The sequence below is a fragment of the Homo sapiens genome, chromosome 16 (genome assembly GCF_000001405.40).
Source record: "Homo sapiens chromosome 16, GRCh38.p14 Primary Assembly".
In the NCBI taxonomy this organism is placed as follows: Eukaryota; Metazoa; Chordata; class Mammalia; order Primates; family Hominidae; genus Homo; species Homo sapiens.
This window is the reverse complement of record NC_000016.10, coordinates 72084857-72108677: the sequence shown is the minus strand read 5'-3', so window position 1 is coordinate 72108677 and position 23821 is coordinate 72084857. Positions and strand designations below refer to the sequence as shown.

General features: G+C 48.3%; 2 protein-coding genes across 10 annotated transcripts in view, besides 5 other annotated features; one reads left to right on the top strand and one right to left on the bottom strand.

The window, feature by feature from the left end:
- Positions 1-1163: part of an enhancer, noted in NCBI's record as "CDK7 strongly-dependent group 2 enhancer chr16:72141414-72142613 (GRCh37/hg19 assembly coordinates)", that runs on past the window's edge. NCBI's record gives its function as "activates an origin of replication core promoter dependent on BRD2, BRD4, P300/CBP, MED14 and CDK7 cofactors, with strong dependence on CDK7, by STARR-seq in HCT116 cells {active_cell/tissue: HCT116}" and the evidence as "EXISTENCE:reporter gene assay evidence [ECO:0000049][PMID:35650434]".
- The window catches only part of DHX38 (DEAH-box helicase 38), a 19066-nt gene extending 4235 nt beyond the window's left edge, over positions 1-14831 (bottom strand). For 2 of the 5 annotated variants that reach the window (NM_014003.4, XM_011523484.3), the window contains exons 1-23: positions 14627-14831; positions 12198-12539; positions 11669-11856; positions 10897-11001; positions 9886-10033; positions 9633-9751; positions 9398-9474; positions 8791-8946; positions 8081-8242; positions 7485-7592; positions 7066-7178; positions 5467-5604; positions 4890-5076; positions 4547-4732; positions 4052-4192; positions 3541-3651; positions 3330-3446; positions 3054-3161; positions 2561-2673; positions 1130-1338; positions 879-1033; positions 296-451; positions 71-205 (exon numbers count right to left, since the gene is read on the bottom strand). In NM_014003.4, coding sequence (NP_054722.2) covers positions 71-205; positions 296-451; positions 879-1033; positions 1130-1338; positions 2561-2673; positions 3054-3161; positions 3330-3446; positions 3541-3651; positions 4052-4192; positions 4547-4732; positions 4890-5076; positions 5467-5604; positions 7066-7178; positions 7485-7592; positions 8081-8242; positions 8791-8946; positions 9398-9474; positions 9633-9751; positions 9886-10033; positions 10897-11001; positions 11669-11856; positions 12198-12520 — 3255 coding nt within the window. In that variant the 5' untranslated portion in view covers positions 12521-12539; positions 14627-14831. Of the gene's footprint in view, positions 1-70; positions 206-295; positions 452-878; positions 1034-1129; positions 1339-2560; positions 2674-3053; positions 3162-3329; positions 3447-3540; positions 3652-4051; positions 4193-4546; positions 4733-4889; positions 5077-5466; positions 5605-7065; positions 7179-7484; positions 7593-8080; positions 8243-8790; positions 8947-9397; positions 9475-9632; positions 9752-9885; positions 10034-10896; positions 11002-11668; positions 11857-12197; positions 12540-14626 lie in introns of those variants that run through there. The other 3 variants (XM_047434985.1, XM_017023913.3, XM_047434986.1) reach the window with 3 other exon arrangements.
- Positions 9176-9676: an enhancer, noted in NCBI's record as "H3K4me1 hESC enhancer chr16:72132901-72133401 (GRCh37/hg19 assembly coordinates)". NCBI's record gives its function as "activates a minimal SCP1, AML or CMV promoter by ChIP-STARR-seq in primed H9 embryonic stem cells {active_cell/tissue: H9 hESC(primed)}" and the evidence as "EXISTENCE:reporter gene assay evidence [ECO:0000049][PMID:30033119]".
- TXNL4B (thioredoxin like 4B) lies at positions 14300-23821 on the top strand. Of its 5 annotated transcripts, NM_001324355.2 has the most exons (5): positions 15058-15311; positions 17892-18060; positions 18501-18589; positions 19540-19691; positions 21876-23821. In NM_001324355.2, exons 4-5 carry the CDS (start codon positions 19570-19572, stop codon positions 22039-22041), a joined length of 288 nt encoding a protein of 95 aa, NP_001311284.1. In that variant the 5' UTR covers positions 15058-15311; positions 17892-18060; positions 18501-18589; positions 19540-19569; the 3' UTR covers positions 22042-23821. The 5 variants fall into 5 exon arrangements, with proteins under 5 accessions (NP_001135790.1, NP_001135789.1, NP_001311284.1 ...); NM_001142318.2 differs by lacking the exons at positions 15058-15311; positions 18501-18589 and adding an exon at positions 14300-14484; NM_001142317.2 differs by lacking the exons at positions 15058-15311; positions 18501-18589 and adding an exon at positions 14809-15033.
- Positions 14536-14835: an enhancer, noted in NCBI's record as "active region_11091". NCBI's record gives its function as "activates an Ori minimal core promoter by ATAC-STARR-seq in GM12878 lymphoblastoid cells {active_cell/tissue: GM12878}" and the evidence as "EXISTENCE:reporter gene assay evidence [ECO:0000049][PMID:35858748]".
- Positions 14896-14945: an enhancer, noted in NCBI's record as "active region_11090". NCBI's record gives its function as "activates an Ori minimal core promoter by ATAC-STARR-seq in GM12878 lymphoblastoid cells {active_cell/tissue: GM12878}" and the evidence as "EXISTENCE:reporter gene assay evidence [ECO:0000049][PMID:35858748]".
- Positions 14956-15285: an enhancer, noted in NCBI's record as "active region_11089". NCBI's record gives its function as "activates an Ori minimal core promoter by ATAC-STARR-seq in GM12878 lymphoblastoid cells {active_cell/tissue: GM12878}" and the evidence as "EXISTENCE:reporter gene assay evidence [ECO:0000049][PMID:35858748]".

Genomic DNA, 23821 nt, shown 5'->3' with positions numbered 1-23821 from the left:
GGACAAAGGAAGAACTTTGCCCTTATACAGGTATCAGGCTGGGAGGGGCTCACTGGGCTCCTGGGTTCACCTTGAGCTTGGCTGCTTGGTGGAAATAGGCAGCACAGATGCACTTCCTGACGATGTCCCAGTCAGTGCCACACGAGGCCAGGCTCATCCGCTGCTGCACCATGATGTCCTTGAGTTGAGCTCGCACCTCCCGGACCTAGGGCAGGAGACGGAGGCACCAGGAGGGAGCCCTCCTTTCCTCTCGACCCTCCCCTCATCCCAACATCCTGCTCATCCACCACTCTACCTTCCGCATGGCCTTAGCATGGATGAAATGATCGTTACACCAGATGGTGGAGTAATTATTGTTCTTCCACTGCAGGTAAACATTCAGGTAGGTCAAATGATCGCTCTCAGGAACAGCGAACTTCTCCCGGATTTGATCACTCTCCTCCTCTCGACCCTAGGAAGGGAAAAAGAACCTTCACTCTAAGTACAGGGGGGTCCAGGCCCACTGAGCACATCCCAGAGGTTCTAACACTACCACCTACCCACACATAGAACTTCAAACATGTCAATAGGTTGCCCTGACAATTTGAGAAAAATTAAAATAATTTTTAAAAAGGTCTACTCTAAAACATGAGGGCTCAAGAGCAACCATACTAGAAGATAAAAAATGCTCTTGCAAATTTCCAAAGCATTCCCTGAGAACCACTGGCCCAGCCCTTCCTTTCCCCTACCCCAACCTGCTTAACCGAGAACAGCAAAATCATTCTTCAGAAACTCTGATTCTGCCCTCTGTTCCATTTCAGTAATACAGAGAGAAGCCATTCCCCTCCCCAACACTTCCTCGAGCCCTCCGGGGAGAGGGGAGCCAGCCGCTGCCCCACCTTGGGCCTGTAGAAGATGGCTGGGACCGAGAGCATGGAAACGATGAGCAGGATCTCGGAGCTGCAGCCCATGTCACAGGACACGATGAGCATCTTGGACAGGGCAGGGTCCAGCGGGAACTCCACCATCAGCCGCCCGGTAGAGGTCAGACCACCTAGGAGAGATGAGCAAACCCGGATATTTGACGGGACAGTAGAGGAAAGAAGGAAGTCAAGCGCCAGCACCCATGAGGCTCCCGGGGCCGCCTCACCTGTGTTGTCCAGGGCCCCGAGGATCCAGAGCTGATACATAGAGTTGAGCATGTTGTCCTCCGGGGGCGGGTCCATGAAGTGGAACTGCAGCAGGTCCTGCACCCCGAGGGACTTGAGCAGCAGCACCACGTTGGCCAGGTTAGTCCTCTGGATCTCGGGCACTGTGGTGGTCAGGAGCTCATTCTTGTAGGCGCTCTGGGTGTAGAGCCTGCCGGGGAGAAGACCCCATCTTCTCACCACAAGGAAACCCCACAGCAGCCAGTACAGATGAAATCCCACAGGGAGGGAGGAAATTCTCATTTCTTCTCCCCACCCACTACTTCAGTGAATCACTGACTTCCACCTATTCAAAACTCCAATCTGCCAATTTAGCCCTTCTTCTGGAGCCTCTTACATGTTTCATTTCTTTTTTTTTTAGACAGAGTCTCACTCTGTTGCCCAACCTCTGCCTCCCGGATTTAAGCGATTCTCCTGCCTCAGCCTCCCGAGTAGCTGGGACTACAGGCATCCGCCACCACGCCCAGCTGATTTTTGTATTTTTAGTAGAGATGGGGTTTCACCATATTGGCCATGGTGGTCTCAAACTCCTGACCTTGTGATCGGCCCGCCTCGGCCTCCCAAAGTGCCAGGATTACAGGCATGAGCCACCACACCCAGCCATCTGTTTCATTTCTAGAACCAATGGGCCTGGGACTAGAATCATGGCTGGGTTTTATTTTCTTGATATTTTTCTATATTCACTAACGCTCTATAGTGAATACATTAATTTTTTTAATTGGAACAAAAAAGGGGAAGAGAGCCAGGCAGAGTGGCTCACACCTATAATGCCAACAGTTTGGGAGGCCAAGACAGAAGAATCGCTTGAAGCCAGGAGTTCACAATACCAGCCTGGGCAACATAGCAAGACCCCATCTCTACAAAATATGAACAAATTAGCCAGGTGTGGTGGTGCCTGCCTGCAATCTCAGCCCCTTGGGAGTCTGAGGTGGGAGGTTCACTTGAGTGCAGGAGATCAAGGCTGCAGTGAGCTGTGATTGCACCACCACACTCCAGCCTGGGGTGACAGAGCAAGACCCTGTCTCTAATTGGAAAAAAGAAAGAAAGAAAATGGGGAAAGAGAACAATAGAAATAAAAAGAACCAATGGCATCATCTGTCCAGACCTACCCTCTGAAGGGAGGCAGGCTGTAATTACCTGCATGTGTACCTACATCCACGTAGGTTGGCCTCAGACCTCTGAAATCCCTGGAAAGCCACTCCTTCCTTCCACTCAGTAGCATAGGATGAAAGGACTAACAAGTGGCAGCCCTGCCAGCAGCTTCCAGCCTTGGGGACCAGCTCTAGAGCCAGCATCCTGCCCGCCCCCGCCCGGGCTCCACGCTCAGCAACCCCAGCGCTGCCCCAGAAAGCAGGCTAGCACAGGGCTCCTACCTGAAACACTGACCTGGGCCCGTCCTGCCGGCTCGCCCTGACCGCTGGTTGGCATTGGCCTGGCTAATGGGATAGATCTGCAGAGCATCCATGCCAATCCTGGGGTTGAAGACCTAGGAGGGGACGGCAAAGAGCTGACGAAGGACAGAGTGAGGGGAAAGTGGAAGTAGGCCTGAGACAAAGGCAAGCCCTGGTTGCTACACATGGCAGAGGAAGAGCCAGGAGGCTCTAGAAATGTTCTCATGAACACCTGAAGAAGTCTTCCCCACAAACACCAGCTCTCTGAGCTCTACTGTTAAATTATCTACCTCATCGAGTATTACAAGGGTTAAACAAACCAAGCACAGTGAGTCAATGTGAGCCTCCCACCACCACCACCACTTCCACGCGCTCCCCACATCCCAGGGCCAGGAGCGAGGCCCTGGCTTCCCACCCCGCAGCTAAGTTAGCTTCTGGTGAACACCCAGGCCTTGCCTCCCATGTCTTCTCTTACCTTTAATTTGCAATAACCAGAATCGATAACAAACATGATGCCGTCAACAGTGAGAGACGTCTCGGCAATATTGGTGGCAACGATGCACTTCCGAACGCCATCTGGAGCCTAGAGCAGGACATACAGGAAGGGAAAAATGAGTCCCTCGAGACAGGAAAGGCTCCGCGAGGGGGAAAAGCCTACCTCCTAGCCCACCCCCTGCCAGGACAGTCACATCCCCTCTCGCTTCCTTTAGAGAACTCCAAGAGCCACTCCTGGACATTCCTGCTGACACACCTTCTGGAAGATTTTGGCCTGGAGGTCAGAAGGCAGCTGAGAGTAGATGGGCAGCACAGCCAGGGCAGGCGCGTTCTCCAGTTCCTCCAGATGCTCCACAATCTGGTCTGAGGTCACCTGAGAGCCCAGGGAGGAGCTGTGAGACACTGGAACCCTAACCTCTCATATGCAAGACACACCCGCTCATCACAGTCGTGACCAAGGCACGCACCTCAATGTCCTCTTGGCCAGGCATGAAGATAAGGATGTCTCCAGGGGCCCCCGACAGGTGCACCTGCAAGGACTGCTTCACTGCAGCCTCCACGTAATCCTCCTGTGGGGTCTGCAACAGCAGTGGGGACACAGTCAGAGGGAGGTACTAGAAGCGCAGGCCGGGCATCTCCTGGGAGCCCAGTGGCCCAGGCACTGCTCTGGAATGGAGCCATGGACTTTGAGGGCCACCACACCTCCACATGGGCCTGACTGCGAGGCCTCTACAAGAGGGCACAGTGCCTCCCTGGGCCCTGTACTTCAGCCTCAAAGAAATAATGAAACAAAACCTCACCCAGAGCAGAGTCCTTTGTCCCCGAGTCCCAGAGCTGCAGGCTGCCCCATTTGCCCCATGGTCCCCAGGAAATCTTCTCCAACCCAGTCCCCTACCCACCCTCCACCCTCCAGCCGGCTTCGCATCAGAGAAGTGCGTGGCATGGAAGGGTCAGTTCGTAACATGGTGGCCTCAATACCTTGCTGAAGAGGATGTCAACAGGGAAGGTACGGCCAGGGATGTGGAAGATGGGGACATTCCCAAAAAAGGCAGCAAACTTCTCCGCATCCATCGTGGCTGATGTGACGATGAGCTTCAGGTCTGAGCGCCGAGCCACTACCTGAGAGAAGAGGCGGCTCGGAGGCCCCCATGGTGGGGACCCTTGGCTCCTGTCCCCCAGTCCCATCAGCACCACCCCCGAGGAAACACAAGCCAAAGCTGACAAATGGGCCTATTCAATTCTTACCAATCATGAAGACTGAAGCAATGGAGCCACTGCCCAGAAAACCCCAAGCCACCCTCAGCAGAGCAAGAACAGCATGAACTACAACCCGAGTCTGAACTGCAACCAGAGGCCTCAGGAACCTCTGGCCTACCAGAGACCCCCTCAGCCCACCTGGAGCAACCCACTAGCTACTGGTGGTGCACTGGTCAACACCCCATGCGCAGAGAGACCAAACCACACAGCCCTCACCTCCCGGAGCAGCCCAAAGAGCACGTCAGTGTTGAGGGAGCGCTCGTGGGCCTCGTCCATGATGATGGCACTGTAGTGATCCAGGTCGGCTTCCCGGAGGGACTCTCGGAGCAGGATCCCGTCAGTCATGTATTTGATCAAGGTGTTCTCTGAAGTGCAGTCTTCAAAGCGGATGGCATAGCCCACCTGGAGGTCAGAGAGATGGCTCAGATGCCCTGGCCACCGGCTCACCACCAGCACACCCCGTACTGGGGTCCGAGTCTTAGCAGATCACACCCTTTAGCAAAAATGGGTGGAAGCTACTAGGGAATAACTACATGGCTCAGCCCCCACGCCCACTCACCTCCTCGCCAAGGTTTCCCCCCATCTCTTCACTGACTCTCTTGGCCACTGACATGGCAGCTACACGCCGGGGCTGGGTACACCCAATCATCCCATAGTCCGTGTAACCATCTTCATGCAGGTACTGCGTCAGCTGAGTGGTCTTACCACTCCCCGTCTCCCCAACCACGATCACGATGCTGTTGTCTCTACAAGGACAAGCAGGCAAAGGGCTTATCAGCCGAAGTGGAAGGCCAACACCCAGCCTCCAAGAAGACTCCGCTACCTCCTATCCCCATGACTAGCTATCCAGGGAGCATGCCGGTTTAGAAGGGAGAATTTCACTGGGACAACAGCCTCTTACTGAGATAACACCTGAAACATCTGGAATACGGTGAGGTTTAAACAGGTGAGCTAAAACAAAATGGTGCCATCCCGTTACTTTGTGCAGTGTACCCCAGGCATGAGGTCAGAGGAAAAAAGTATTTCCCTTCTCCACTGGGTGCAATGCACAAAAGAAAAAGAGCTCCTGGGTAAACATGGGAGACCAAGGGCACCCCTGACTTGACACTAGATTCCTGGGCCCCGGGTGAAGTTACCTGATAATAGTGAGCAGCTCCTGCTGCACTGCAAAGATGGGCAGGTACTGCCTCTGCTCCAGGATGGACTTCTTCTTTGCAAATTCACTGCTGGCTTCGCTCTTTCTCTTCATGTGATCTGCAAACTTCTGCTCTGTCCTAGGAACACACAGCAGCCTAAACACCCTGCATGGTGCCCCATGCTGTCCTTCCTGATTGGGTTGCTGCCCTCCTTCCTACGCTCAGGAATGAGGACTTCGGCAAGAGTCTGAGACACCAAAGCAGCCAGGGAATCTGAGATGGTTCTCATCGACCTCAGGACTGAAACTGCTACTTGAGAATCCATCATCCACAACACACTCGACACCACAGGGTCCAACAGAGCTAGCTGAACATGGATCGGAGGATTTACAGATCACCATATTAGCAAACCCTCTAACCAAAACAGAGTGAGCAGAAGAGGAGTGGAAATCAATCCCCAGGTCACTAACTTGTAGAAAATACCCTCGGGCAATTTCAGCACAACGTCTAAAGGGCTAAAATAGCCACACAGGCCTTGTGAGGAGGTAAGGGTGCAGAGCACGGGACATGGGTCAAACTTCCTCCCTCCTCTTGGCAGGACAGCAGGAAAGCATAGTCTGTACGGTTTTGTTTTCAAAGAACTGTGAAAACAGCCCCACTAAACAGTAACCTGCAACCTCTACTGAAAGCTCTCAATGTCTGACACATGTACACACCCGAGATGCAGAGCACTGTCACTTTCTCAAGGCTGCCTGGCAAAAAGACACCAGTTCAGTGCTCCACACAGTCCACACACCCCTCCCCAACCCCCTCCCCAGAGACTTCCTGTCTGATGTGCCGCCCCATGCTCTGCTGAGCTTCCTATTTCTAATTTCACCCAGTCCCTCCTGGTCACCCAATAACTAATACCTGAGGAATTAAGTTAACTAGAGAAGAATAAGGGCTGATCAATAGTACCAACTTCTCGTATGGACATTTCACACAGGAGTGGAGAGAATTATTAACTCAGATGACCGTTCAGTAGAACATAAGGGCATTCGAAGGATGAGGATCTTAAGGGACAGATAAGTCCAGCCACCTGCCCAATGCAGGAATCCCAACTCAGCATCTGCTTAGATGCCTCTATGAGCAGAGAAGTCACTGGCCAATAAGATAACCCTTTCTATTTTGGAACCTCTTTTAAAAATAGTTCTTATAGTGAACTCAAATCTAAGGGACTAAAACCCAGCTGCCCATGCTGAACACCTGGGAGGTACTTCAGCAGAGTGGCTCTGATGTGAGACGGCCTGGGTCTGATCCTAACTCCCTCACTGACAAGCTGGGTGACCTCAGACAAGTTACTTAACCTCCCTGGGCCTCCTTCCTCTCACAACACCAGCACCAGAGGAAGCAGTGTGAGGGAGGAGGAATCACATATAGGAAAAGTGGAGGACAGTGAAGAGACCAGGAGGAAGGGACCAGAGAGAATGGAAGATGCAGAGAGGTATCCTAAGAGTCTCCCACTCAGGAGCCACAAAGTCGATGGGTTCTGCCGCAACTGCCCACATGGGCCCCCATCTTTGGAGCAAGGCTGATGTGCTGCTGGCTGAGGCTGCCCACCTGTAGTCCACCTTCCCATCCTCCGTCACAGCTTTATCTGGCTCTTCCTCCTTCTTGACGCCCATTATATCTCCCAGTTTGGTCCCCGCCAGTTCCCAGTGTTTGTGCTGAGCCTGAAAAGGAAAAAGGTCAGTCTGCTCCATCCTGCCACATGACTGCGAGCAATGGAAAATCAATCCCACGGGAGAGCAGACTTCACCCCGCAGGTGGTAAACTCCCCCAGAGTGCTGGTGGCACCGAGCCACATTCCAATCCTCAAGCCTCCAGCTCTCCCAACACCAGGCCCCGCAGCTGTCGGGCCTAAGGACTTGATAGAGGGGACTCCTAACTTCTATCTGTGGGCCTAGTAAGACTTATGAAGAGAAGAAAAAAGAAAAAAATACACATAAACTTCCCAGCCACGAAACCAAGAAACCAACCTTCTTGCGCTCCTTCTGCTCCCTGTGCTTCCGCACTGTCTGGCTGCCTTTCCGAGCAATGATGGCCAGGTCAGAAGTAGCATCCTTCACTGGAATCACCGGCTCCGGCTGCAGCAGTGGGGAGAAAGAGCGATGCCCGTTAAAATCAGCAAGAAGGCCATGTTCATAAGATCCCTACTTGTGAAAGGGACTGCTACCCTCTCATGGTACAGGGCTATTTTCTCCCTTCTCTTCTTTCTGTCTCCACATCAGGCCTTTTTTGTGTGTGAGACAGAGTCTTGCTCTGTCGCCCAGACTGGAGTGCAGTGGTGTGATCTCTGCTCACTGCAGGTTCTGCCTCCCAGGTTCAAGCAACTCTCCTGCCTCAGCCTCCCGAGTAGCTGAAACTACAGGTGCCTGCCACCACACCCGGCTAATTTTTGTACTTTTGAGACAGGGTTTCACTATATTGCCCAGGCAGGCCTTGAACTCCTGGTATCCAATGATCCACCCTCCTCAGCCTCCCAAAGTGCCGGGATGACAGGCATGAGCCACTGCACCTGGCCCACATCAGGTCTCTCTGAGCTGTCTTGTCCCTGGCCACAGAGGAGCCTCACCTGCTTGGTGAAGACAATGCGCCCATCCAGAAAGGGAGGCACCAGATTGTGCACCATCAGATGCACCTTGGCCGCGTTGTCCTCTTCAAAGTCCTCATCCACCTCCAGCCGATGGACCACCCCACTGGTGAGCATGCGGTTTGTCTCCCAGCGCTCGTTATCCTGTGAGGACACAATGGGAGCCACACTCAAATTGCCACCCCAAAGGTCGTCCTGAAAGGTTATGAGGTAAGTCCACACATCAAGTCCTGACAGAAGGCCACTGGTAGCTGCAAAGATGTCACAGGCCTCTACCCACAGCTCCAAAGACAGAAGAGGTGCTGATCCCAAATCACCTGCAGGAGTTTGTTCCAAGCAGCAGCACCTTTCATCTAAATCAGAACCTCTAGAGGGACACACAAATGGTAAGTGTCCCTAGCCCACATCAGAGACACAAAGAACACAGACCACAGAGGCAGGTCCCAATGCACCTGTTCCCATCAACAGTACTTCCCCTCAAGGAAGTACTGCAAAAGAGAGAAGTACGAGCCGGGGCTTTCCTTAAGCTACTAAAAGGCTCATCACCCACTCCTCTTCCACCTCCAGAGGATCTGGGCTTCTCGGCAATCAGGGGACAAGCTGTGCTGCCCTCACTTGGGGATAACCTGCTGCTTCCCCACGTGCTCTACCTCCAGCTCTGAATCTGCTCCAACTTCTGCAGGCAGCCTCACCTCATTGATCTGTCTCCGCTGAGCTGAAATGCGCTTCTGCTTCTGTTTATGCAGGTGCTGCTCCCGCCTCCTCACGTAGTCCTCGGAGGAGTAGGCCAGCGGGTTGTGGAACTCGTCATAGCCCTCGTCCATCATGTACCAATCCCGATCGGCTTGCTGCAGGGCAGGAGGCAAAGCAAGGGAGTGAGGGACAGATCAAGTTTATGCACGAGACATGGCCAACAGAAGAAGGGACGCTTGGTAGGAAGTCACTACTGCAGTGGAGCTACCCTTGTGAGGGGTGCAGGAGAGGCCTCCCTGCAGACACATGCCATCTGGAGGAGAACCACAGTGGGCAACTACACAGGACTGGAGGGCAGCCCATCACGATAGCACTTCTTAGATTTACCACATGGTGGCACCAACACATAACAGAACAGTTAGGTCAGCCTACTGCAGTGAGTGACAGGGTTCACCGTGCCGTCTATGCCTCTGCAAAGAGACTCCAGGGCATTGGGTCTGAACAGGGCTCAGGTGTACCCTCATCAAAGCCCAGTCCTGCTAGAGGGTCACCCATCTACAGACGGCCACCAGCCCCGATCAGCCCCTCAGAGGTATAAAACTTTACCCTCTGGTCATCTTCCCACTGCTGCCGCTCCTCCTCCGTGTCAAATGAAATTCCTTCTTCGCCCTCCTCACGTCTTCCTGGAGGAGCACAGGAAGCAGGTCAGTCCATGCCCTGGCCTGTCCCCAGCGGCCCCAGACAGATCTGCAGGGCCATGCAGCTCCAGAAGGGCAGCCCCTGCTCATCCTCGCTAGGGCAAGCAAGCCTGCTCTTCTGCCTGCTGCCCCACAGGCCTCACCTCGGCCCCTGGACAGACGCGGGGTGGACCCCAAGTGTCTTCTGTCATCGGCCCACTCGTTATATTTGTAGGAGGGAGTTGGCAGAGGCGTGTCATCCGAGTACTTGCCCCTCACAGACCTGGGAACAGCAGCACCAGCATCACAAAACTGTCACTGAGCTAAGCCACGTCCTCCTGGCCACCATCTGCTCTCCCTGCCGAGGCTCCTTACCGCCCACCCAGCGAAACTGGGCTGCTCTGCCCAGAACATCACCTGTCTCGATCTCGAGTGGACAGCCGATGGCTCCGCTCAGAATCCCGATAGGAAGGCGTCGGGGAGGGCGATTCCCACTGTGAGCGCCTTGAGGAGCCATAGCCACTGTCCTCTTCCTCCCAGGTAGACCTTGAAGGGGTGGCTGCATCTGGGCCACAAAAGACACATCCACAGGAAACATCTCACTTAACCATGACATGGTCTAGAACCAGTTGCCAAAAGTCAATTCCCCAAATTTACTCCTTTTACTATTTCTAAACCTTGCATGTATCTATAACGGTTAAGATCGGTTTTGACAGTTTTTAAAGATATCTCAATTTTTAATGGTCCAGGATGTATTTTTCCTTTTTTTCTTTTTTTGAGACAAAGTCTTGCTCTGTCGCCCAGGCTGGAGTACAGTGGTGTGATCTTGGCTCACTGCAACCTCTGCCTCCCGGGTACAAGTGATTCTCCTGCCTCAGCCTACCGAATAGCTGGGATTATAGGTACCCACCACCACCCCAGGCTAATTTTTGTATTTTTAGTAGGGATGGGGTTTCACCATGTTGGCCAGGCTGGTCTCGAACTCCTGACCTCAAGTAATCTGCCTGCCTCAGCCTCCCAAAGTACTGGGATTACAGGTATGAGCCACTGCACCTAGCCAATGGTCCAGTTTGCATTCTGTGTTTATGACAACATTTTAAGGGATATTTACTTTATCTCTACAAACACACCCTTCTTGGATATAAGTAGTTCTTTTTAATAAACACTTCTTCTACCTCCAGCTCCCTATTCTTTCCTACCATTTGGAAAACTGGCCATTCAGCAAACCAGCCTCTCACCTTACAGGAACCATATCCACCCCAAGTGCAGAGCTGTGCCCACCTGACTCAGAACCAACTATCCCAAGATGTTCATGGTAGAATCGGGAATTCTGACTCAATGCCTCAGCAATCTCACTGAAGACGAGAGTCACTCACTCTGCCTTTTATACACTTGAATCCTCACAAGCCACCAAAACAGTGAGTCTACCTTTAGGTCGATGTCGTGGGCTCTCGGGTTCATTTCTTCTGCTGCTACGCTCTGACCCTCCATCTCGCTCTGATCTGCTGCTGTGCCTACTTCTATCCCGCTCATCTATGAAGAGTCACACGAAGCTTAAAAACATGCATCCCATCCTAAGGTATACACATCTTCACCCTAGAGAAAGGACAGGCTGCCCACTCACTCACAGGTGCAACCTGCACTGCTCGAATGTGATCCGTGGACTCCTGAAACTCACCTATCCCCATTCTCCCAAGGGGGAAAAATAGTTACTGCCTAGAAAATTTCAAACCCACAGTAACAGTTATTTTCCAGCAAGAATTCAAAAAATACTAGTGCGAGTTTACAGTGAATCATTTTTTTTAATAGTTACAATTCTATCAGCTATAAAACTTAATACTGAGCAAGGACAGCATTGGATTTTTTTGTCTAGCTTTGTTCCATAGCACTGTCCTTTCTCTATCACCAATACTATTAGAAATGCTGGTCTCTTATACATATTTACCCATTATCTCCTTTATCATCAATTTTCATAATAAAACGAAGACCACACACTCAAGGAGAGCAGCTATGTTACAGGCAACAGCTCTTTTCTTAAACTAGTATTCCCAATCCCAGCAGGGTCAAAACCACTCAGGCGGACATCATGCAAATAGGACTCCCTAACAAATGGGTGTTGCAAAAACTCCTGCAACAAGAAAAAGGCTGACACATTTATTCGAATGCTAATGGACAATAGGAACTGTGCTGGACAGTTTACCTCTGTCCCTCTTGCGGTCATAGTCTCGATCCCGCGATTTCTCCTTCTTCCAATCCTTTTCTTCTTTGGACGAGGCATAGACACCATGTTCCCGCCGCTCCCGCTCTCTCTGCCGACTGCGTTCCCAAAACTCTTCGCTCACACCACCCGGATGGGATGGAGTCTCTACCCGAGCAGACCGATAATGTCTGAAACAGGGAGAGCAACTGGTAAAGGCCCCTCCATAGGAGAAAAACTCTGCCCTAAAACCTTTGGCTGTCCAAACAAGTGATCTGTCCTTTTCCACTTTCTCTCCCTGGGACGCAGGCTCACATATGGCAACAACCCAAGGCATTTCTAACCTCTACCATCTCGTCTTTATTCACCTTTGTTTTTCCCCACAAATTCCTACCTACCTTCAGTATTACAGAATCATAATAAAATCATAAAGCTCTAAATCTCCAACAGGAAAACTGAGAGATAAACATGAGCTGTTATTTTCCAGCCTCCGTTCGCTTCCCTCTGGGCTAACCCATACTAAGGCCTTTACCTGTCTTTCCGGATATTTTGGCCAGCCTGGTCACCGCCCTCTTCCTCAGCATCCTTCTGGTCATCCTTGCTCTCTTCCCAGTCCTTGTAGGAGGAGACTTTGGACTTCTTCTTGTCCTCCCCATCGTCCTTCTCCTCTCGCTCTCTCCGTTTCAGGGAAGCCAGCAAGTCCAGTCCGAGTAATGAAGGGCGGGGAGCAGGAGCCTTGAAGACATGCTGCTCGCTGGCCGCACTTTTGGACTTGCAAATAAGACCACCAACCTGACAGTCCAGATCAGTGCCTTCCAATCGATGGATCGAGGCATCCTCACTGGTGTCCCCCATCACAGGATCTGGGATTTCTCTGGAAGGAAGGCAAACCATTTGGTACTAGAGAAGGCTCAGCTCTACTATATCCCACAATAAATGCAGTTATGGTTATATGTAGGTGATTAACCTTCCCCATCTCCCCTTAAGACCAGGACTACTTTTGCTCCCTCTCTCCAAGACCTTTCCATCAAGTCACTGCCTATCTCCAAAGATTCTCCTATTCCAACCCCCAATAAACACCAAAATAGATACACACACACACACACACACACACACACCCCATACATTCCTCCCCAGCCCCCACAAAGATCCAAGAGGCAATAAAAAGTCTCACTAAGGGACACTTTCTAGAGCCTGATGTCAGCAGCTGTAACAGGGATGTAGGGAAAACACCACTAAATTTGAATCAGAAACCTCAATTAGAAACCAGGCTCTTGACACTTTCTACCTGTATGATGGTAAGCAAATAACTTAATCTTTGTTTAGCCATAATTTCATATCTATTAAATGGAAAAAATTTTTACCTTATCTAATCCATGAAGCTATTGTGAGAATCAAACAAAAAGTGTATGTGAAACCATAAAGAGTAGCTCTTTATGTAACCATAACAGTTAACATAAATGTAACTGCTACATTGTATTATTTGCTATCCTCCTATATACTGTTGGTCCCTCACCCATTTTTTTACATGAGTTCTACCTCTTCCTCTCTTTAAACAACAGGTACAGCAGCACAGAGATGGGGCAGAAGGCTACCGTCCATGTTCTCCATACTTTAGTGGCTTTTCTTGGCCTAGCTGCGTTTTACAGAAAACAATTTACTCACAGCAGCCAAAATCAGTTTAATAACAATCCATGTTCACCAAAAATATTTATGAGAAACACCAGGTTAGGAAAAGGTGTTACTGAGAAGTATTTAAGTGGCTACAAGACTTCTGGCACTCAAGTTGGAACAAGCTCCTCTTTACCTCTCACTACACATCTGCCACTCATCAACATATATCAGTTCTGGATGCTTGGATAATTCCTCTCATTCCAACAAGTTAGCAAAGCAAAGGAGATGCCACCAGAATCCAGAATTGTTTACCAAACTCTAATTAAATGCACAGCTCTACAGAGTATTGCCAAACAGACTGGACACATAATATTAATGCAGAAACAAGAGTTACATTTTGAAAATGCCATCAGGCAGAACAGAAAAAAAGAAAGCTGCATATTGGTGACATCTGTGCGCATGTGAGGAAATCCACACAAGAAGGTAAAGATATACAGGCTCTACTCAATAGTTGTCTAAACTAGGAAAGGTACCCTGGACTGCCATTCTACGCAGTTGAGAGAACACTGGATGTGTTGTTGACTGCTGTAGCTCAATGTCTAGCAAAATAAGCGTTTGATAAATTAAAAAATGAATTAATTTAAACTTATTAAAGGAGGACAGGAACCCAAACATTTCTGGAGACAGCAAGGGAAGATTCCAGCAACACAGGACAAGGAGACAGCCAGAGAGAACTTCATTAGCTGCTGAGACGAACAAATAAGGAGCTAAAGAGCAAGATTCTTGAGAAGGATTAATGGCAAAGAAACTACAAGGCGTACGAGAAAGCCAGGGAAGAAAGAACCTGGATTCATTCATTCAACAATTATTCACTGAGGGTGTCCCTGAGCCAATTGCTGTTCTCGGCGATAGCAACAGAGAACAAGACAAAAATCCCCGCCCACCTGGAGCTGACATTCTAGTAGAAGAGATCGCCCACCAGATTGCCTGGTATAAATGACACTGTGAGAGAGCAGAGGAAGACACAAGGAGTCCTACTCGGGCTCGGTGACAGTCTGGGGTGGGTTAAAGCGGAGGCCTGGGAGAGGGACCAAGGCCACTCCAGGCAGCATCCCTGGATCTCAGCGAGGCCGCTCCAGGCAGCAGGATTTGACCAGAGCAAGGAGGAAGGCCAAGGCGGCCAGGACGGATGCAGCATCCCTGAGGTGAGTAAGGCAAGGTGGGTGACAGGGACGACAGAGGAACTCCCCAAACTGGGGCCCGGACCTGAGCAGGGGACCAATATCCGCCGCCTAGAGCCGCCATGATTACAGAAGGGCAGGCCAGGAAGGAAGAAGGGACTCTCACCTCACCAAGCGCGACTCTTGGGACCCTTCTGTCCCGGATTCTGGGGCGCCGGCGCTGCCACCCCTCGCTCAGACAGGCTCAAGGAGCCAAAATCCACACCTTGAAAGCGGCCATTATTGTCCCTTAATACTTTGCGCGCCCCCTCTATCCGCCCAAAGCTACCATAGAGAGCAGCCTGGAACACGCCCGATTCCTGGATCCAAGTGTGGAACGGTACGCCAACAGGCTCTCAAGGCCTCCTCTGGGGCTCTGATCAGACACTTCCGAGTCTCCTTGTGACCAATCACTCTTAGCCTAAGAGACTACATCCCGCCTCTAGTCTGGGGGCAGGAAAAGGAGGGGAAAAAGGTCGACCATCTTTAATACGGGCGGAGGTGACGCCTAGCTTCCGGTCAGAGCCGAGCAAGGTGGGCGGTGACTAGAAGCTCTTCCGTTTATTGGGCTGTTGAGCGGGGGCCGACCGACGGCCAGGAGTTTCTTTTCTGCGCTTGTGCGTTTTCTGTTCGGTTTCCTTCCCGCTAGCGGGGCCACGAGGGTTGCTAGGCAACAGCCCCTGGGTGACTTGGTCTTAGGGTCCTGTCCGGCTTGGGGCTGATGAAAGGAGCTGTCCGCGCCCGGGCTCTTCCGAGAAGTGGTTGCTGACAGCCACAAAGTGAAAGGGAGTGAGGCGGCGTGGACGAGTAAGGTAAGTGCTGGGGTCCCTTAGCGCTTGTGGGCCAGGAGCAGCGCAACACAGGTGACTTTAAATATGTATATCGGATATTTTGGAAAATGGAGATGCGCGCCCGGCTGTAAATAAAAATCACCCATGCGTTCACACGCAGAGATGACCACTGATTTCCAGTTGTTTTTCTGGAATACATTGTAGTAAGATTCTGTACAAAAGTGAGTTCAAGCTTTTTTTCTTTTTTTGGTGTTTCTGCAGTTGTGGCGCGCGCCTGAGGTTCCAGCTACTCGGGAGGCTGAGGCGGGAGGATTGCTTGAGCCTGGGGAGTTGAGACCAGCCTGGGCAACATAGCGAAACCCCGCCTCAGAAAAAGAGAGGGAGAGAGGAAAGCAGTGGAGTTATTGGTCAAAGAGTATGTCAGTTTTCTTTCCAGAAAGGTTTTGTGTCTGCATTCCAGCAGGAACTCCCTGTGCCTGCCCCTACCACTATCTTGTTTAATTTTTGCCAATTCAGTGACTTTGTAAACATATGTTTTAATTTGCTTTTCTTTGCTTACTGGTAAAGCTTAACTTTTTAGTTTATTTACTGTCCATTTGTACGTCTTCTTTTGGGAATTCTCTGTGGGTATCATTTACTATGGACATTTTCTTAGATGTGGTCTCAGTTTTCCTCTCCTGCTTCCAACGTTTGTCCAGTTGCACCCCTAGCCTCACCACTAACAACTTTGTTCTCCCCTTACTTTCTCCTTTCGATCAGTAACACGGAGGAACTGCTGTTTGTTTGAATTCTAGTGGGACAGATCCGTCTTCTCTTTGACCTTCCCTTTCATTGGTAATTTGTTCTGCTGCTCACATCTGATGACGTCCCTTTGGGCCATCAATGTCCCTGTTTAAAGTATGACCTATAGCTGGAACAATCTTATTTCCTATGTGAATTTTAGTTAAATAATTCCTTTTTTTTTTTTTGGAGACGGAGCTTCGCTCTTGTTGCCTTGCCCAGGCTGGAGTGCAGTGGAGCGATCCTAGCTCACTGCAACCTCCGCCTCCAGGGTTCAAGCAATTCTCCTGCCTCAGCCTCCTGAGTAGCTTGGATTACAGGTGGCATCTGCCACCACGCCCGGCTAATTTTTTGTATTTTTAGTAGAGACGGGGTTTCACCATGTTGGCCAGGCTGGTCTCGAATTCCTGGCCATAGGTGATCCACCCTCCTTGGCCTCCCAAAGTGCTGGGATTACAGGGGTGAGCCTGGCCTAATTCGTATCTTAAAATGTGACTTGTGACAAAAAAAATAGGAAAAGAAATCCTCCCTTTTCATATTTGGAACTGAATTCAAAATACCGACCATCTCAATGGAGTCTCTTATAGATGACCACAAAACTAAGCTTCTTTGTCAAAGAGTTTCTCAAAAATGAAATTTCTACCAATCATGAAAATAGATTATTGTAGTAGAAGGACCCCTGGACTAGAAATTTGGTGGCCTGTATTCTAGTCCTTGTCATTGTAGTAGAAAGTGCAACTGTAAGCAAGCTAGTTTGTAAAATGACGGGGTTGTATTAGGTCCCTTGTACCTCAGTATTTTATTATTTGTTTATGGTATTGTAGTTTTCACACACACTCTTAATTGATCTGTTTGCCGTGTAATGAGGTGCACCTAGTAAGGTGCACACGAAGAATCTTTAAGCCAGGACTTGTAATAATATAAAGTATACAATAAAGGACTGTTTAAAAAGTGTAACACATGCAAGAAATAATATGCTGCCATGACAGAGAATATGGATGTTCTCTATATAGAGATATGGGGCAATCTTCATAGGTTAGGTTTGAAATAATGAAAAGTGCTGAAGAGTAGATAAAGTGTGTGTGCTGAACATCTGCCATTGGTCCCTCCACAGCCATTCTTCATCCTCCTCTAGACTGCTCTGGGACAGGGAGGTTTGCCTGCCTCAACAGGCCCCTGCCCTCTGGTTCCAGTTGGAGTCAGCCGGTGGTTGCATGAGCAAAGGTCAGAGGGAGGGAGGAGAGTGGCTGCAACACCTAACAGCAGGCTGCCCTCCTATACACTGTCCTCTCCACTCACCTCTTTCTGCCACACAATTCTTATAACTGCTTCCTACCGTGGCTTCTTCCTCCCATGGCCTAGGGATGGGTACAGCATCCCGCTGTTACTAGCCCCAAAGTAGTACACTTTACCGTATTGTTTTTCTACACCTGCCTTAATTAAACTGCCTTCAAATTACCAAAGTTGAGAGTGTCATCGCTTTCCTGCTGGAACACTGATACAATAGGCTATCTTTTGGGGGTGGGGAGAGAGAGAAAAAAAATATCGGAACGCATATTTGTATTTTTTGGTGAATGCATAACAAAACTCTGAAAGATACATGAGAAACTAATGAAAGCAGTTATCTGGCCCGGGGGAGGGAACAATGAAAACTGGTTCCAAGGAGCAGGGACAAAGAGAGGGAAACTCCACAGTGTTACCTTTCTATGATGTTTCTTTCATACCATGTGAATACATTAGCTACTCTGTGAATTAATTTTTTTTAATGAGGGCTCACGCACTTAATCTAAACTGTCTTTAAACATTGCACCTTTATTTCAGGAGTGACAGTGAGGATTCACATTTGGGTTATTTCAAGATGAGCTTCCTACTGCCCAAGCTGACTAGCAAAAAGGAAGTAGACCAGGCGATAAAAAGTACTGCTGAGAAGGTGTTGGTTCTCAGGTTTGGGAGAGATGAAGATCCTGTCTGTCTGCAGCTAGATGATATTGTAAGTGAATGTCTAAAATAATTGGTTTTTATTAATAATCTGTATATTCTCACTTCAGCATCTGAGTAGTACATGAGAGGGAGTAGTCAGGGTTGGGTATATAGCTGTTCATTTGTTAGTTCACTAAGAGCTGATTGTGTGCCTGCCCTGAACCAAGCCCCCAAATCTGTGTGTGCTGAATCTGTCTTGGATGTCCTTACCCACTAGAAGCTGTCAATGCTGTTTCACCAACAAGGTGATGGAAGAGCAGAAAACTATTAACAAGCATCTGTGAACACTATCTTTTCAGTGCTCGCAATAGTGGGATAATAGTAGCCCCATTTCCCAGTAGGAAAAAAAAAACCAGAGAGGTCAAGTAATTTCCCACAGGTGCAGATCCACTATATTGCAGAGTTGAGATTTGAACTCAGTTTTCTGTAGCTGCAAATAATCTTTTCTAGTGTGCTGCCTCCAGTATGTGCCTGATGCAGAGAGAGACCTAACCCAGAACTAAGACCTCTTACCGCCATTTCTACTGCTACCATCCCGTGTAAGAGCTGAGCGTACAAATCCTCATTTCCGTGGTTACAATGAGGGTGTGATGTGTTAGCTTGGGGAAAAAAGGACCAGAGGATTCTACCCTCAGTCATAAGCAGGAGGAAATACCACAGAGGTCAGTGATGTAGACACTGAAGCCACACTGCCAAAGTTCAAACCCCAGCCCTACTGCTCAGGAGCTGTGTGACCTGGGGCAAATTACTTTACCTTCCTGTGCCTCAGTTTCCCTATCTATAAAATGGGGACTCTGATAGCATATACCTTATAAGAATGATGTAAGGATTAAATGAGTTAACAAATGTTAAGCACTTAGGACAGTTACCACATAGTAATGTTATATAAGTGTCTGCTACTAATTATCGTGGTTTTCATTTCTGGGAGGATTGGGAGGAAGGAGACGTTAGGGAATTTCAGTATCCACATAACATATTTCTAAGTTGTGTTGTTTTAAATGAGCATGGGCTACTTTTATAAAAGCATTCAAAGAAAGAAATTAAAGGAAGAAATAGATTCACACAGTTTTCCCCAAGGATTTGTATGCTCAGCTCTTAACACGGGATGGCAGCAGTAGAAATGGCGGGTAGAGGTCTTAGTTCTGGGTTAGGTCTCTCTCCACAATGAATAGACAGGAATACTCCCATGCTGTCACCCTCCTAAACTCACACAGTTTTCCCCAAGGTCCCCTTCTAACCTCACACAGTTTTCCCCAAGGTCCCTTCCTAACCTCATACAGTTTTCCCCAAGATTCCCTCCTAACCCCGTTGCAGTGAATGAGACTCTGGAGGATGGGGTTATGCTTTGTCTAATGTGGGAGCCACATGGGCTGCATTGTTGGCCCAGGAGTTTTTTCAAACAAAACACTCTGTTGTAGTAACAAGTTTCACAGAAGAAACATTAAGCTGCCTCTCATATTGTAACCTTTGTCTCTCTCGTCATTTGCAGCTTTCTAAGACCTCTTCTGACTTAAGTAAAATGGCTGCTATATACCTGGTAGATGTGGACCAAACTGCAGTTTATACACAGTATTTTGACATCAGTTATATTCCATCTACTGTCTTTTTCTTCAATGGGCAGCATATGAAAGTGGATTATGGGTAAGTGCAGTTGATCTGAAGTTAATTGCAACCTTGTAAGTTTCCTTGGTAAGCATTTTCAGTAGCTTGCCTATTTCCATGTGATGTTGGCTCTGTGAGTCTTATATCAGTACTGTTTCCCCAATTGACGCACTCTCTAATTTTTTATGCAAAACCTTGCTACAAAATGAGAGTGCTTCTGGTATGATTGTCAAATTTTATTTATTTTTTTAATAGTGCATACACATGGTTTGTCAAATTTTAATTTCCGACTTAAGTATGAAGAAATAGTACAGGTGGCAAAGCACTACCATCCATAAGTCTATAAAATATAAAATAGCCATATTAGCTAAATAAAGAACTCTTAAAATTTTCCCAGGAATTTCATTTGAAACAAAACATGTAGTTTTTCTTAAGCTTTTGGACTGGTAAGTGGCATTTATGAAAGAAACATTCCTTCTAGCAAACTAAGATGTGCTTCTCTCTTGCAAAGTTTCCTGCTTTTCGCCATTGAATTTTAAATCATTCTTCAACAAAGCCTGTCAAGAATAAGTAACATGATGTCCTCTTTAGTGCCTTCCACTCCATCCAATTACCATCTCAATACTTAATATTGATGATTGGGTGCATCCATGATTCTGATCATTTCTTACTGTGGTTGATGTGTCCACTTATCTAGATCTGTGTACCCTTTTTGTCTTTATTTGAAAGTATGTGAAATATTATCTGTTTTAAAGTGTTTTAGGCTGGGCATAGTGGCTCACGCCTGTAATCCCAGCACTTTGGGAGGCCAAGGCAGGCGGATCATTTGAGGTCAGGAGTTCAAAACCAGCATGGCCAACATAGTGAAACCCCATCTCTACTAAAAATACAAAAATTAGCCAGGCATGGCCAGGCGCAGTGGCTCACGCGTGTAATCCCAGCACTTTGGGAAGCCGAGGCAGGCAGATTATGAGGTCAGCAGATCGAGACCATCCTGGCTAACACAGTGAAACCCTGTCTCTACTAAAAATACAAAAAATTAGCTGGGCGTGGTGGCGGGCGCATGTAGTCCCGGCTACTCTGGAGGCTGAGGCAGAAAAATGGCATGAACCCAGGAGGCGGAGCTTGCAGTGAGCCGAGAGCGCGCCACTGCACTCCATCCTGGGCAACAGAGCTGCCGTCTCAAAAAAAAGATTAGCCAGGCATGATGGTGGGTGCCTGTAATCCCAACTACTCAGGAGGCTGAGGCAGGAGATTCGCTTGAGCCCAGGAGGTGGAGGTTGCAGTGAGCAGAGAACGCACCACTACACTCCAGTCTGGTGACAGAGCAAGGCTCCATCGCAAAACAACAACAACAACAACAAAAAAAAAACACAAAAGTATTTTAAAGCTGTTTATTCTACTGGAACACATTTGATGTAAGTATTAATTTGGTACAACCTTTTATGGGGGCCAGTTCAACATTATGTATCAAATAGTTTAAAGTTTTTAAACTTTTTAACCCAGTAATTACACTTCCAGGACTTTAATATGATGTTGCAGATGCACATTTAACAAATGAAAGAAATATATGTCAGCTAGAAAAAAGCATATTACTGAATAATTTGTATGACATAATTCCCAATGTTGGGAAAAAAGAAGTTTGTATCTGCACATACACACACACACACACACACACACACACACACACACACACACAAGATTGGAAGGATAGACACTGAAAAGTGACCTCTGGCCTCATCCGTGATTTTATTTATTTCTTTAAAATTTTTACAGTAACATACCTGGTGTTTGAGATACTTTTCTAAAAAATCAATTTTTTAATACCTACCACTCAAAAGGCCATGAATATTGAATGGGCTTTGCACAATGCCCAGGCAAAAGCAACAACAGCAAACGAAGAAACAATGTGCACTCCAACACTTGGTGAAATCTGCTTGATGATTTGAGAAGTGATAAAAATAGATTTTGTGATTACAATAGCTTTTGAAGCTAAAGCTTTGCACATGACAGAGCTTTCATGCTAGTGGCCCACAGCACTGGGTTGAGTCATTTACTAAATGGAAAAAAATGATTGAAAAATTAATGTTGGGCTTTATTTCTGAAGTCTCATTGACAAGAAGAAAATAACAAAGCTGTTTTTCATTTTGTTTATCCTGAAAGTCTTCAACAAGTGATTACTCAAAGTTCTTAGAGCAGTTGTTTCTCTTCTATGCTGTCTAGATCTCCAGATCACACTAAGTTTGTGGGAAGCTTCAAAACCAAACAAGACTTCATAGATTTGATTGAAGTAATCTATCGAGGAGCAATGAGGGGGAAGCTTATTGTCCAAAGTCCTATTGATCCCAAGAATATTCCCAAATATGACCTTCTCTATCAAGACATTTAGTACATTAATTGCTGTCAAAGATGAAGAAGAAGGCACATCTTGACACAGTACCTGAATCCAGCTGTGCTGTGTTTCTGGAGTCCTTTGGAAACATGTGTCCCAGAGGAGAAGAGGTTTGACTTGCGTGTAGAAAACCCGGCCCCTGAGGAAAAGACCCCACTGGTTCTCTGATGACCTGGGATGCCTAACTGTCTACTCCCTGCAAGCCTCAGAGCAGCCAAGTCATTGGTGTTCATTTTCCCCACAGTGATTTTTGTAACTTCTCTTTCTAATGTTTTTCTTTATCCCTTTAATACAGAACCCTCCCAAACATTGGCTAGTACAACTTGATTTCATCATGTTCATTTGATACACAAGTGAACTGGAAAGTCACTTCCCATAGAAGCAAAAGTACTTATTTTCTACCCTAGCTGGGTGCATGTGTGTGCACACACACACACACACACACCCCCACACCCCTTTGCCGGTTCCTCGACTCATACATCCCTCGTGCTTTCCCATCTCCAGTCTGTATTACTGTAGGTTCTCTTCAAATAATTAATTGAGCAGACAAGTTTGTTTTATTTTGGAGCCTTTTTGGCTCTGGCTTTTAAACATTGTCCTGGTTGGCTCATTTAATTTTTTTTTTTTTTTTTGAGACCGAGTCACTCTTGTCACCCAGGCTGGAGTGCAGTGGCGCGATCTCGGCTCACTGCAAGCTCCACCTCCTGGGTTCATGCCATTTTCCTGCTTCAGCCTCCTGAGTAGCTGGGACTACAGGCGCCCGCCACCATGCCCAGCTAATTTTTTGTATTTTTATAGAGGCGCAGTTTCACCGTGTTAGCCAAGATGGTCTCGATCTCCTGACCTCGTGATCTGCCCTCCTCAGCCTCCCAGGTGCTGGGATTATAGGCGTGAGCCACCGCGCGCACCCCATTTAATTATTTTTTATGTTATAAAATTTAATATGGAAAGTGAGAATTTGAACCTTCACCATCCACCACTCTATTCAGGTAAAACAATGAATGAGCCACCTTAGCAGGAGCAGATTTTTCCCAGAAGCTGCTGCCTCTTCCTGAGGCAGAAAATTGGATTACTAAGGCTCAAAACTAAAAGAGATGTCAGCATTGTTGGATAGAAATGTCACCTATATGGGATTTGCCTGTTTTAATAACTTTGTAAGGAATTCTTGCTCTTCTAGGGGTGCCTGGCGCAACCGTGGGCAAGTTACTGCTCCTCTTTAAACCTCGTGGTGGTTATTGAAACAGATTTATTAGAAGGAGAGGGTAGGTGCAGAGCTGGAGAGCCATGGGTGAGGCAGCTTGTGACCTGCCTAGCAGCCGCTGACCACCTCTCCAACAGAAGCCTAGTCCTGTTCAGAGCAGCACTGTCACTGCAAGTCCAGCCCCCTTTGCCAGGGGCTCCATTCCACCCCTTTCCTGCAGGGAGGGGTGCCATGAGTCTTGCTTTTGGCTCATACAGGAGAGAGGGAAGGCTGCCAGGCACTGCTTGTATCCCTGCTGATAAGAGGAGGGAGTCACTCCAGGAATAAGACAAAAGGAGAGGAGGAGGCCATCACCTCTGGCCTCTTCCATCGTACACTTCCTGTCTCTGGTTTAATCATGATGCATGGAGCTACAACAGCCATCTTAGGTCCCCGAGGTGCCCAGCATCACGTAAAACATCGATATGCTAAGAAGAACAAAAAGAGCCCAATCTCTGATGTTATTGAGCTCCTGCATGAACTCTGGACCTGCCTGCCTCAGACTTCTGTGAAAGAATAAAATTTCTTTTTGCCTAA